The sequence below is a fragment of the Homo sapiens genome, chromosome 3 (assembly GCF_000001405.40).
Source record: "Homo sapiens chromosome 3, GRCh38.p14 Primary Assembly".
Lineage (NCBI taxonomy): Eukaryota > Metazoa > Chordata > Mammalia > Primates > Hominidae > Homo > Homo sapiens.
The window spans coordinates 120671851-120684557 of record NC_000003.12 but is presented as its reverse complement, the minus strand read 5'-3'; the positions used below and the strand labels follow the sequence as shown (position 1 = coordinate 120684557).

The window sequence follows — 12707 nt, the reverse complement described above, 5'->3', positions numbered from 1 at the left end:
AGGCTGAGATGGGAGGATCGCTTTAGCCCAGGAGGTTGAGGCTTCAGTGAGCCATTTTTGTGCCACTGCACTCCAGCCTGGATGACAGAGAACCTGTCTCAAAAAAAAAATTAAATAATAAAATAATATTTTAATATCCCCTGTGTGTATTCTCTCCTTTTAGAAGGAATCCCTAAAGTTTAGTGAAAGATGTATTCAACTTTAAATATTTTCAAGCCCCTCAAAGTAATTTTAATCCAGTCAAGGAACTGTTAACACTTTCTTACCCCTTCAGAAGTCTCTCATACCTTAGGAAAGAACTGAAACACTTCTTAAATCTGCCTTCACAACTGGTTCAATGGAAGTAACATAGAAAGTTTGTTGAAAAATAAGGCAGTAAAGATTTCCCTTTGTCTTTTATTAGCTCCCATTTGTTTATCTAATGACCAACTGCTAACTTCCAAGATCAATAGAGATTGAAGGCCCAAGGTACTCATAAACTTAGATACACAGGAGATATTTTCTTCGAATTCAGTTTCAGAGTCTGCATGTTATAGGAATAGTGAAAACTTAGCCTCAATAAAGCTAGGGCCTCCACCTACCTTCCTCCTAGGTTTGCATATGAATTCCAGAATAGTTTATATAATGCCACAATGCCATCTGTCTATGCTGACATATGCTGAGGTTTCCTATCAGCTGCCCGGTCCGTAGGCATCAGTCCACATGGTTTGCTACCAGCATGTTTCCTATCAACATGTCCCCTTTGGTCTGGCCCAGTCTGTGCTAGCACCTCATACACAGGCAATAATTCTGCTGCTACTGCAGTATGCTGGAGCCTGGGGACCCTTGGAGGTTGTTTAAGCCCATTTATCTAAAGCAGAGGGTCTCAAACTAGCAGCCTGTGGCCACTTCAAATATGCACATGTTTTTCAACCTGCATGATTATATCAGTTATTTATCACTGCTTAACAAACCACCCCAAAATTTAGTAGTGTGAAATACACCATTCTATTTGTTCCCAATTCTGTGGCTCAGCAGTTCGGGCCAGATTTAACTGGTGGTTCTTCTGCTGGTCTTGCCTGGGATCACACATGTTCTGCAGTCACCTGGCAGCCAGACTGCCTCATTCACATGTCTGGCAGTTCCTGTGGGGCTTGCAGGGCTGTTGCCTGGACCTCTGGAGGCCAGCCCAGCTTCTCTGCACTGTGGTCTCAGGCTGCAAGAATGGGCCCTGTCCTAAGGCACAGGCATGTTTCAAACTCTGTGTCATGTTTGCTACTAGCCAAAGAAAAAGACCCTACCTCTTGATGGGAGGAACAGCAAAGTCACATTCAAAGGGGCACACATACAAGGATAGGAGGAATTGGAGCATTTTTTGCCATCTACCACAGGGTGGTTTCTCTGTCTCTCTCACTCTAATTACCAATGGTTAAAAATTGGAGCTTCATCTTATCTTGAAAAATCAGCTAGCCTACTTTATTCACTTACACTTCCTCCCTCATCTGTTGGCATTTGAGTTGTGATAATGCCTAATTTACAAGATTGTTTTTGTGAAGTTAGATATGGAAAAATCTGACAAAAGCAGAAACTCAATATATGTTTTCTCCTTTCTGAACACCACTAGTCATGAAGCTGCTACCTGCCAATGACCAAGGAGAGCGGCCAAGATGAAGAACAAGGGAGTCATAGAGGAGGTGGCTGGAGAATAATCCCTTGGTCTGTTTTAGAAGTATAGAGGCATTAGGAAACAAAACTCTTAAAGAATTTATAAGAAAACTAAACGTACTTTAAGAAATTAAAAGGAGCAGTAGGAAACATATCAGTTTGCTCTAAGTGAAATATCTCAGGCTCTGAATGGTTCACCCAAGAACCTGAGCTCATTCCTGGGAGGCACCTGCAGAAAACTGGTTCTGGTCCTGGTCCCTGTCTTCAGGTGGCTGTGTGTAAACATCTTACCCCAGTGTACACATCTGCAGCTGGTAAATGCCTGGGGGTTTTCTCACTGCTCTCCAGGAGACTCAGCACTGCCCTGTTCCTTCCTAGCCTGAGTCAGGACTGAGCAGAGAATCCTCCACCACACACAGCAGGCACTATCTGCCACAGTTCCTTTCCCCGATAGCTTCAAATTCTCTGCCTTTTGAAATAAGCCTACTTTTAACTGGAATAAATAATTGGTCAATCTCTACCTCAGGTGAAGAGGAACCAAGCCTCTGGAAACACTTAGGAACAAACTGTAAAAACCAAAGGCAATTGTGTAACCGGTTAAATAAGCTTGCTGGACTTTGTCCCTGTGTATGAGTTAGACAATTCTTTCAGCTAGTTTGAGTGACGCACTGACCAGTGAAGCGCAGTGAAGCAGTGGGAACCGGAATATCCAAAGAGTGGTTTGAAGGAGAAAGAAGCATTGTGGCTTTATATCCTCTGGGCCTGGGTTTCCTGAAGTCACCACACATAGAGGAGAGAGAAAATGGCTGAGTTAAAGGTAAGAAACCATCTGACAAGTTTGCTATGGCTTCTTCAGCCAAAATTTATGGAAGTTTCTGAGAACTTCAGGGTATCAGAGTTGGAAAAGACTTAGAGAGGCCCTGGTTCAAACCCCTGTGTTCAGAGGCTTCCCTGTGGTGTCTGTGGGCACAGCTGGAGCTGAAGAACAAGGGAAAGGTGATAAAGGAAAGAAATGAAGCTCTTATTGGTCATCCCTTGCCTTTGTTCATTTCAATTATTGTCTTGGAAATCTGTAGACATCCTAAGAGCTCCCCTCCACTACGGACATGCACGTTTCTCTCTATGTCTTTTTCCCAACCCCTGCTCTGACACCTTCCCATTGCTGCAGCCTCATGGACCACTTCCGGTGACCAGTTAGATATGCTTGATCTATTTAGTTAATTAAGGCTCTGAATCAGCCCTTGGCCAGAAGAAGCACCTCCTCTAGGAAATCATTCCTTCTTTTTAGTAATACGCAATTGAAAAGTATGTGTGGGTTATGTGCTGTTAGGTGCTAAGCATTTTAGCTATGAATTAACTCATAATCCTCAAAATAAATCTGGGGTATAGAGAGAGGTTCTTGTTTCAATTAGAAAAGTAATGCTTGGAGAGACTATGATTTGCCCAAGGTCACTGCCAATAGATGACTTGATTAGAAGCAGGGTATGTTTGAATGCGAAGTCCAGGCTCAAAAAGGGGCCTTAGTGGCTCCTACTAGACTGGTATCTTAAGGCAAGGAAAACAGAATATGTCCCTAATATCTAAAACCATGCCTAGTGCCCAGGCCAGGCTTGAATCAATGCTCAACGCATGCATGTGTAACTGAACAGAACTGCCCAGAACCTTGGCTCAGGCCAAGTAGGCCAGACCACCCCACAACAGACATCTTCCCTGAATGCAGGGTTTGAGAAGTGCCCTAATGCCCTCTAACTGATGCTGAGTTTGAAGAATCCATCAGTTAAGGGGAGGTGTTTCTGAGTTTGAAGAATCAAACACCTTCCTAATTGGTAGGAATCCTGAAAACACTCCACACCGGAGTAAAAGACTTTGGTTTTTTATCTTTATGCCTGACTAAAAGTTAACTCTCATTCTTTCATTCAGCAAATATTTTGTGCTAGTGCATGACACTGCAGATTAATATCGTAGATGAACTGAGTCTGGGCTAGGTAGAGTCAAAAAAAAATTTCCTAAAGGAGCCTGTACCTAAACTGAGTCTTCAGAGAGAAGTTGGAACTGGCAAAGTGAGGAAGGACGGGGTCTGGAGGGAAGAGTGAGTGCAAAGGCACAGCACATACAGAATGCCTGCATGCTCTAGAATCCAAAACTGTGTCAGCCAAATTTGAGTTGATGGAGGGACAGCCAAACTGAGATACCCAGGCGGTGGTTGGATTTATGGATCTGGATTTCAGGGGAGTGGGCAGGGCTAGGGGAATAGAACTGAGGGTCATGATGTCAGTGGTAGGAGTTGAAGTCTTGGAAGAAAGAGTAGATAGAAACTTTGTTTTCTGATGAACATTCTATGAGGAAGTTCAGCAGAGGTTGGAAACATCTTTACCATTTATAAATAAATTTTATGTAAAATCCTATCCTGCTGTCATGTTTAAGCAACTTATTATGCACAGCACCAGGACATCAATGTAAATTGCATGCCAGTCTTTGCTCTCAGTTTCAAAGGCATTCTTCCCTGCCTGCTGTCTAATCTTTACAAAGAAAGGTTAACTCCAGAGGTCAGGAATCTGAACACAGAAAACCAGATTGCATCATATTCATTCTAATCAATAAACATTATATAATTTTTAAAACTGTTTCTCATCTTTTATTTCTTCATTTTAATGAATATGTCAACACAAAGCCGTAAATGAAATCACATTTACACAAAAGTACAACTGGGGTAAGAAAATTCAAAAGATAAAGTAATAAAATTAAATTTAAAATGAAATACCCTATGTATTTGAGTAAGTTGCTTAGCTTCTCCCAACCTTGGTTTCCTCATTTCTAAAACGAAGAACTTGCTTAATATTCAGGCTCTGGGCCCCACCACCAAATCCTTGATTCACTGGCTCTGGGTCTGTATGTAACAAGCTTCTGGAGTGATTCTAATGATTAGCCAGAGACAGGACCTACTATTCTACGTAACTGATTTCCTCTTGCTGCTGTAAAAAATTACCACAAATTTATTGGCTTAAAACAACACAAATGTATTATCTTGAAGTTGTGGAGGTCAGAAGTCTGAAATCGGTTTCACTGGGCTAAAGTCGAGGTGTCAGTGTGGCTGTTTCTTCTGGAGACTCTATGAGAGATTGTGTTTTCCTGCCTTTTCCATGGATTCTGTTTCCTCTTCTAGAGGCTACCCACATTCCTTGGTTTGTAGCCTCTTCCTCGATCTTCAAAAAAATGTATCTCTGCTTTTGTAATCACGTCACATTTTCTCCTCTTATAAGTCAAATCTCCCTTTGCCTCCCTCTTATAATGACACTTGTGATTACATTTAGGATACACCCAAATAATTAGGATATCTCCCCATCCCAAGATCCTTAATTATATATGCAAAAGTCTGTTTGGCTAGAAAAGATAATACTCACAGGTTTCAGGGGTTAAGCCATACATATCTTTCAGAGTGAGCCATTAGCCATTATTCAGCCTACTGCGATAATGTGCAAGTTCCCTTTACAATCTATGTTCTATGTTCCCATCAAGGTTAATTAGAAATATTAGACTCTTTTTCCACAGAAAAAAAAAATGTAGCAGTAGTTTCATCTCTACCCTGACTTCTCTCTCTTTCCTTCATGCCCAGTAAGAGGAAGTGAGGTGCACCATCTGTTCATCTCATCAGGTGTTACCTAGAATCAGAGTCAGGAGAAAGCACCTCATAAAACTACTCTGACAAGTAAACCATATCCTGGGGACCAGGTGAGAATTAAAAAGCTGTATACTCATAAGCTGCCAAAGAGCTGATGGTACTGAAGTCACATGGAGCTCAGGAATTTATTCTTGCATTTAGAAAGTATGCATATAATTCTCTCGAAAAGAAATGAAATCATATTTTTCTGTCGGATCAAATTATTCAGAAATCCGAACTGTAGAAAACATACAAACACACTTGCTTAATGTTAGCTTTTTAATCTTATTTTTGTACACAGTATACTTTTACATAGGCACTGAACCAGCTGGAAATGAATGCTTGGATTTTCGCAGCTGATAAAAGCAGAGTTCAGATTCTGTCCTTGAGCTCAATGTCTGGAGAAAGCAGCTGTGAATACTGCTTCCTTAATTCAGATGCCTTTGGCCGTGAGGGGCATGGCATTTTAAAGCTGCAATAAACTCTGTACTTTTTCTCTCAGGGGATTAGAAAAACCAATTGATTTGATAGTGACTCAGCAGTTTTCACCTTCCTCTTTAGCCAATGCCCTGCAGCTAAGATTGAGAAACGGATTCAGAACTCACACCTCTTGGTGCTTGGTGGCTCCCTTCCAAACCATCAGCTGTTCTTTCTACTTTCTTTCCTATTTTTTAAAGCACAGTCTGAATCAAGTGCTTCAGAACCATTTATACTAACTCGTGTTCCAAACACATAACCCTGAACCCTCTTCTAAGGCCACCAGTTACAAAGAATGGGGAAGGTTAATGAGTAACTCCACCAGTGCCTGCCAGAAAGCTCAGCTGTACTCCAGCCTTCCTTCCTCTCTTGCAGAGAGAAACAATGCGGCAGTTGAACAAAGCGAAGGCACTGTAATGCCCAGTGGCTTCAGTCACAGGCTGGTCTAAAATTCCATTTCACAGAATTGAAGATAATTTGGGGTTATTACCAATTCTCAGCAGCTCAAATTCAATCCCGTTGATGGTGAGCATGGGGTTCATTTTGAGAGTAGAAAATTGGATGCAGTGGAGAATCAGAATGTTGGATGGTCTCTGCCATTTCCCCAAAGATATCATCCTAACTGCATGCTGCTGCTTTTAACAAATCAGTATACAACTTAGTATTTTTTGTGTTGACAAATTTTCAAATATACAAAATATTGAGTCTGAAGGCAAAAAGAATAATTTTTCACTTCCATTGCTTCCTAGGTCATAACATTCACATCTGATATTTCTTCCAAATACAGACTGTTGTTGGCCTGATCATCACTCACACATCCAGGCTTGTTACATCTCCACGCCACTGAGTATCAGGGAACCTGCCCCAATATTCACGTAGGTTCTTTTCTATTTTCCCTAAGCGTCGGCCAACTTTAGAAATAAAGGGACAGAGTACAAAAGAGAGAAATTTTAAAGCCGGGCATCCGGGGGAGGCATCACATTTCGGTAGGTTCCGTGATGCCCCACAAGCCACAAAAACCAGCAAGTTTGTATTAGGGATTTTCAAATGGGGAGGCAGTGTGCAAATAGGTGTGGGTCACAGACATCAAGTACTTTACAAGGTAATAGAATATCACAAGGCAAGTGGAGGCAGGGTGAGATCACAGGACCACAGGACCGAGGCGAAATTAAAATTGCTAATGAAGTTTCGGGCACCATTGTCATTGATAACATCTTATCAGGAGACAGGGTTTTTAGGATCAACTGGTCTGACCAAAATTTATTAGGCGGGAATTTCCTCTTCCTAATAAGCCTGGGAGCGCTGTGGGAGACTGGGGTCTATTTCACCCCTGCAGTCTCGACCATAAGAGACAGGCGCACCTGGAGGGGGGCTGTTTATAAGCCTATACCTCCTGGCTCGTATTCTCTTTCTCAGGGATGTTCCATGCTGAGAAAAAGAATTCAGCGATATTTCTCCCATTTGCTTTTGAAAGAAGAGAAATATGGCTCTGTTCTGCCTGGCTCACCAGCAGTCAGAGTTTAAGGTTATCTCTCTTATTCCCTGAACAATTGCTGTTATCCTGTTCTTTTTTCAAGGTGTCCACATTTCATGTTGCTCAAACACACATGCTGTACAATTTGTGCAGTTAATGCAATTATTACAGGGTCCTGAGGCAATATACATCCTCCTCAGCTGACAGGATTAAGAGATTAAAGTAAAGACAGGCATAAATCACAAGGATATTGACTGGGGAAGTGATAAGTGTCCATGAAATCTTTACAATTTATGTTTAGAGATTGCAGTAAAGACAGGCATAAGAAATTACAAAAGTATTAATTTGGGGAACTAATAAATGTCCATGAAATCTTCACAATCCACGAACTTCTGCCATGGCTTCAGCTGATCCCTCCGTTTGGAGTCCCAGACTTCCCGCAACAACTGAGAACTCTGGAGGGCCTACCCTTCACCCACTTCCACCCTTCTTATATCTCTTAAGGAGCTGTGTTCAGATGGTTACATTTCGCTTGCTGAGCAAGACTGCATTTTCATTATCCTGGGCTAAAATCAATTGGTATTTAAGTTAGAGCAAAAAGGGTTCTAACCCTATTTACAGCAGCACACATACACTTACATTAGAATTGGCTTTAAGGGAAAAATTCAATCAATCGACAAATTTCCACTGATTACCTTCTATGAGCCAAGACTGCCATAGTCTCAGCCTTCATGCAGCTTATAGGCTAGCAAAAAAGCCAGACAGTGCACAAGAACTCACAAGTGTGTTGAGTGTTGCAAGAGTAAGTTTCAGGGGCTCTCCATGACTTACCTGGTTGAGAAACCCTTTAACTTTTTTTTTCCTCTGGGTGTAAAGTGAAGAGATGGCAATCAGAGTAGGTTCCATTGTGTCATTGTGAAAAGATGCTGGGCTGGCGTGTCTCCTGAAGGCCACCCATATCTTTAAACTTTATTTTCATGCATTCGCACAAATATAGATGTGTTCCATAGATGAGGCAGATAGCAGAGGCTTCTGCCTACAGCAAGGCTAGTTTGGAGAGGGTTTTGCTGTCAGGGTTGGACCCACACACCTCTTCATAGATGCTTTTTCTTTTTTTTCCCAGAGTTTGAAAGGGAAATGGAGTCTCAAGTTCAGGGAGGTTACAGTGTAGACCCACAAATCAGCTAAGTACAGCTAAGGGTGGAGAAGTCTATGCAATATCCAGCACTCTTCTGATTAATTAGAAGTCTTTAAAATTCACAGAAACCATATTGTCTTCCCTAAATGATTCATATGTCAAGACACAGTAAAGATATTATATGTGGAACATCATACACAAACATAGGTCCATATAGAAATTCTTACCTTAGTAAACTGCCAATTTTCTGAAATGCTCTTTAAATCCTGCTAATGGTGGCATTTGTGTCTTTGTCACCTACAGTACATTTCTGGATTTGGGAATGAGTGTTCTTCAGAGGATCCTCGCTGCCCAGGTTCCCTGCCAGAAGGACAGGTATGAGCAAATAAAGTGCTTAGAAGAGCTCTGAATCCTATTCCTGGATGACTAGCTTTCAGGCCAAAGTGCCTCCACCCACCGTGGCTCTTCCAATCTAGCCTGTGAACTGTCTAGAGGTTTCCCAAGTCATAGGGGCAATGAAGATACAGAGCAATGACAACACAAAGATTAAAATTGGATTGGTGGCACAGCAGCCAATCCAAACTAGTGAAATTAACTGTAGGGTTTCCAGTAGGATCCCCAAAAATCCAGAGTTAAAGAGAATCCCTCATATTCCCCTTGAACACCATGGATGTGAGCATTATGATAAAATAACAAGGTGCTTTCACATGTATGCACAAAGATGTTCATACTAGTGCTGGTTAGAAAAGCAACAACACGGGAAACAAAAATATTTTCAAAACTTTTTGCAGGCCGTATCATAGCATAAAAAAATCCTCATTTCTTAAAAAAAAAAAGGAAAAAATGCCTGATTATTACAGGGTTACAGGTATGATAGGGTCACAATTTTGGAGGATAAGAATGCAAGGAAAAATACCAACATGTGAACGCTTGGTTATTTCTGGTTGTGAGATAATGGGTGTTATCATATAGTTTATACATTTTCTACAATAAATATATATTACTTTTATAATCGGGGGGCAAGTCACATCAAAAGTTGTTACAAGAAACATATCGGGTTGCAGATGGTCATGTGCAGTCGCCCAGAGCATCCCCATCCCCCTACTGAGTTGGTTGGTGGGAAGGTGGGATGCTTTTCGGATGGGAGTAATATTGTTTATTGCATCCTTTGTTTCAGAATAATCCTCAGGTCTGCCCCTACAATCTCTATGCTGAGCAGCTCTCAGGATCGGCTTTCACTTGTCCACGGAGCACCAATAAGAGAAGGTACAAGGATTAGATGAATTCTGACCTGCAGACTGTGGGTACTATGACAGGGACTTTGTGCTGCCTCCTTCCCCTGGGCCACAGCCTCCCAGAGCTGCCCAAGATCCTGCTTCTTATAGGCTATGGTCTGGGTCATGGTCAGAAGAGAATGAACTTCCTGCCAGCTAGCACCAAGTGACTGGTGGAAGAAGGTGAAGGAAAGCTGCACAGAGCTGGGAAAATACACATGTCCAGTTCCATTTACAAATTACCTCCTATATTCAGAAGGAAATATTCCTAATAGTTTGGTCTTCTTCTAAAGACTGTCCTGTTGAGTTTTGGCTTGGGGTTTACCTGTTTTGTTTTGTTTTATAATGACTAAGTCACAATTATGGAAGATTCAGAGCAATATCTTTCTCAGCTGACTAGAGGTATGTTCTTTGCAAGAAAATGTTGGGTAAACGAAGTTTGGATAGTTAAAAAGTCACATATTATGGCCCACTGTGGTTTGAATTAATAAGGTTTTTACTCTGGTATTCGCCTTTGCTAGAAACCAGCATATTCATTTACATACTGTGCCATGTTCCATGTTTGCTCTAATCCTACATCCAGGTCAATGAACGTAATCCCTTGATTAACTCATATCAGGCAGGTTGGATGCAGTATGTGTTATAGTTTTGGGAGGCAGTAAGTGTTATGATTTAAACAAATAGTGTCTAATTATAAAAATTTTAGGCTGAGGTATTTGTGAAGAGGAATGCTGCTGGTATTAGAGACTCGGGGAGAAGGGCATGTGGTCTTGTACTGCTTAGTAGGGCAGCCTGGGTTTATCTCCACAGGTCCTTCTGAGAAGCAAATGAGATAGTAAGTAAAAAACTATAATGGACCACACAAATGATAAAGATTGCAAGGTTTAATCATGGCCACCCTGGAGGCAGGCCCCCTAAGTATAAATCCTGGCTCCTTTTCCAGCTGTGTGGCCTTGGGTAAATCATCTGCCCTCTTGGATCCTCTAGTTCTTCATTCGTAAAACAAAGATAATTATGGTACCTATTTCATAGCTGTGGTGAGGATTAAAAGAAAGGATGTGTGTAAAGCACATTAGCTTAGCTTAGCACATTGGCACAGGCACATGGTTAGTGCTCAGTTAATGCTAGTTATTGTCATGATAACTATCATTAAGTATTGCCATCATAGCAGAGTTTCTGCCTCATTTCCAGGGTATCTCTAGGAGGCTGTCAAGAGAACTGGGCATGATATGTGGCAAGTGCTATGTTACAATGTCAGTATCAACAGTACTTTTCTCTCAATAGATATATGCGTGGGAAGAGGAAGAGATAGAGAAAGATTTCTATACATGTCAAAAATCAGGGGATAATTCCTTCACTATTTAATCATCTCTCTCTCTCTCTCTGTAAGCCCAAATAGGGTAAGATAAGCACGCAGATAATTCTGTCCATTCTAATTTATGACAACCTGTCCTCTATGACTATGTTCTTGACTTTATGGCCCATTCCCTAACAGGCCACCTGGTCTCCGGATTCTGCAGCCTGTCCCCATTATTCAGCAATATCTTCAGCCAGCAGGAGCTGAGCTTTGTTCCAGCAGGCTGAAAAGGAGCTGTTGGCATTTCATTAAGAAGCTGGCACTGTTCCCTGAATCAGAATTAAATCTCTGTTCAGGGCAATGTAGTACTGCCTGGGGAGTTTTATAAACTCAGCTAAAAAATAAGGGACACTAGGTATGGCTCACCCATCTATTTAGAAGAACTCTCCAAAGATATCCACAAGAATTTTGTGGAAATGCTTCCCACCCAAAATCTCCAGTGGGAAAATGGGACCAGTCTTATCCATAAGTAGGCCAGCCTGAAATTCTTAGTTACTACTCATCTGAACCATAGCATACAGGGCCACCACAAAACTATTAAAGAGTCTATCTACCTACCTACGTACCTACCTACCTACCTATCAGGGATTAATTTTTATCAGATTAGCTAGCTGATTGATCCCTTGGGTCTTGAAAAGGCAAAAGTCTGGAGAGATAATTTGGAAAATGTGGACTGTGATAAAAATTCAGAAGATTAAGAGAAGAAAGGCAATTTAACAAACACATGATAAGCCAGCAGCTACTGTATGCCAGGCATTTTTGGTACACAAACTCTCTGAGTTCTCACAACAATCTTAGGTGACAAGGATGAAGAACATAAGGTTCAGGAAGTCTAGTAACTCTCCCAGGATCACACAGGTGGTTCCAAGACATACACACATGCTCTGAACTTCATATACTGGGAGCTGGAGAGGCTTAGTAAGACCAAGGTCTGAGGTCACGTCATCAAGAGATGGAGAAATCAAATGGAAACTAAACAGATCTAGCCCTTTTTCCCCCAGATGGCTCAATGTTGGGCCAGGCCAACTCAACTCACTGAGGTAGACTGTCCTTGGTCTTGAAAGGGCCAGAGCCTGTTGATTCAGGTCTGGTCTTCCGTTGTCCTTCTGTATTTTGTCAGGGCAGTACCCTCTGAAAGGACTTGGGTCCCTCTTAGTGAGCTTCAATGTCCCTTCCAGCTTCTGGAAGGTCTTATCCTGGTGTCCTTTCAGATTCCTTTATCAGAGTCTTCTTCCCTTCCTGAAGCCTGAGATCTGGTCCTGGTAGAGAGGACACACTTTAAAAAGAAAAGAAAGAAAGACAAATAAAGGCATAAATGTACTACAATAAAACATGGACATACACTCTTATAATTTTAGAGTACAGAAGTGTTAATTTATTTTTATTTTATTTTAAGTTCCAGGGTATAGGTGCAGGATGCACAGGTTTGTTACATAGGTAAATGTGTGCCATGGTGGTTTGCTGCACTTATCAACCTATCACCTAAGTATTAAGCCCAGCATACATTAGCCATTTTTTTAATGCTCTCCCTCCCCCAACTCCCACCCCCCAACAGGCCCCAGTGTGTGTTATTCCCCTCACTGTGTCCATGTGTTCTCATTGTTCAGCTCCCACTTATGAGTGAGAACATGCAGTGTTTGGTTTTCTGTTCCTGCTTTAGTTCGCTGAGAATATTGGCTTCCAGT

At 41.6% G+C, this 12707-nt stretch overlaps 1 protein-coding gene across 8 annotated transcripts in view, besides 1 other annotated feature; it reads left to right on the top strand.

Annotated features, from left to right (window-relative positions):
- The window catches only part of HGD (homogentisate 1,2-dioxygenase), a 54068-nt gene continuing 43679 nt past the window's right edge, over window positions 2319-12707 (top strand). For 7 of the 8 annotated variants that reach the window (XM_005247412.3, NM_000187.4, XM_047448059.1 and 4 more), the window contains exons 1-3: window positions 2319-2461; window positions 8695-8766; window positions 9569-9657. In XM_005247412.3, the coding sequence (XP_005247469.1) occupies window positions 2447-2461; window positions 8695-8766; window positions 9569-9657 (176 nt within the window). In that variant the 5' untranslated portion in view covers window positions 2319-2446. Of the gene's footprint in view, window positions 2462-6563; window positions 6655-8694; window positions 8767-9568; window positions 9658-12707 lie in introns of those variants that run through there. The other variant, XM_017006277.3, reaches the window with a different exon arrangement.
- Window positions 6601-7551: an enhancer, noted in NCBI's record as "OCT4-NANOG-H3K27ac hESC enhancer chr3:120395854-120396804 (GRCh37/hg19 assembly coordinates)". NCBI's record gives its function as "activates a minimal SCP1, AML or CMV promoter by ChIP-STARR-seq in naive H9 embryonic stem cells {active_cell/tissue: H9 hESC(naive)}" and the evidence as "EXISTENCE:reporter gene assay evidence [ECO:0000049][PMID:30033119]".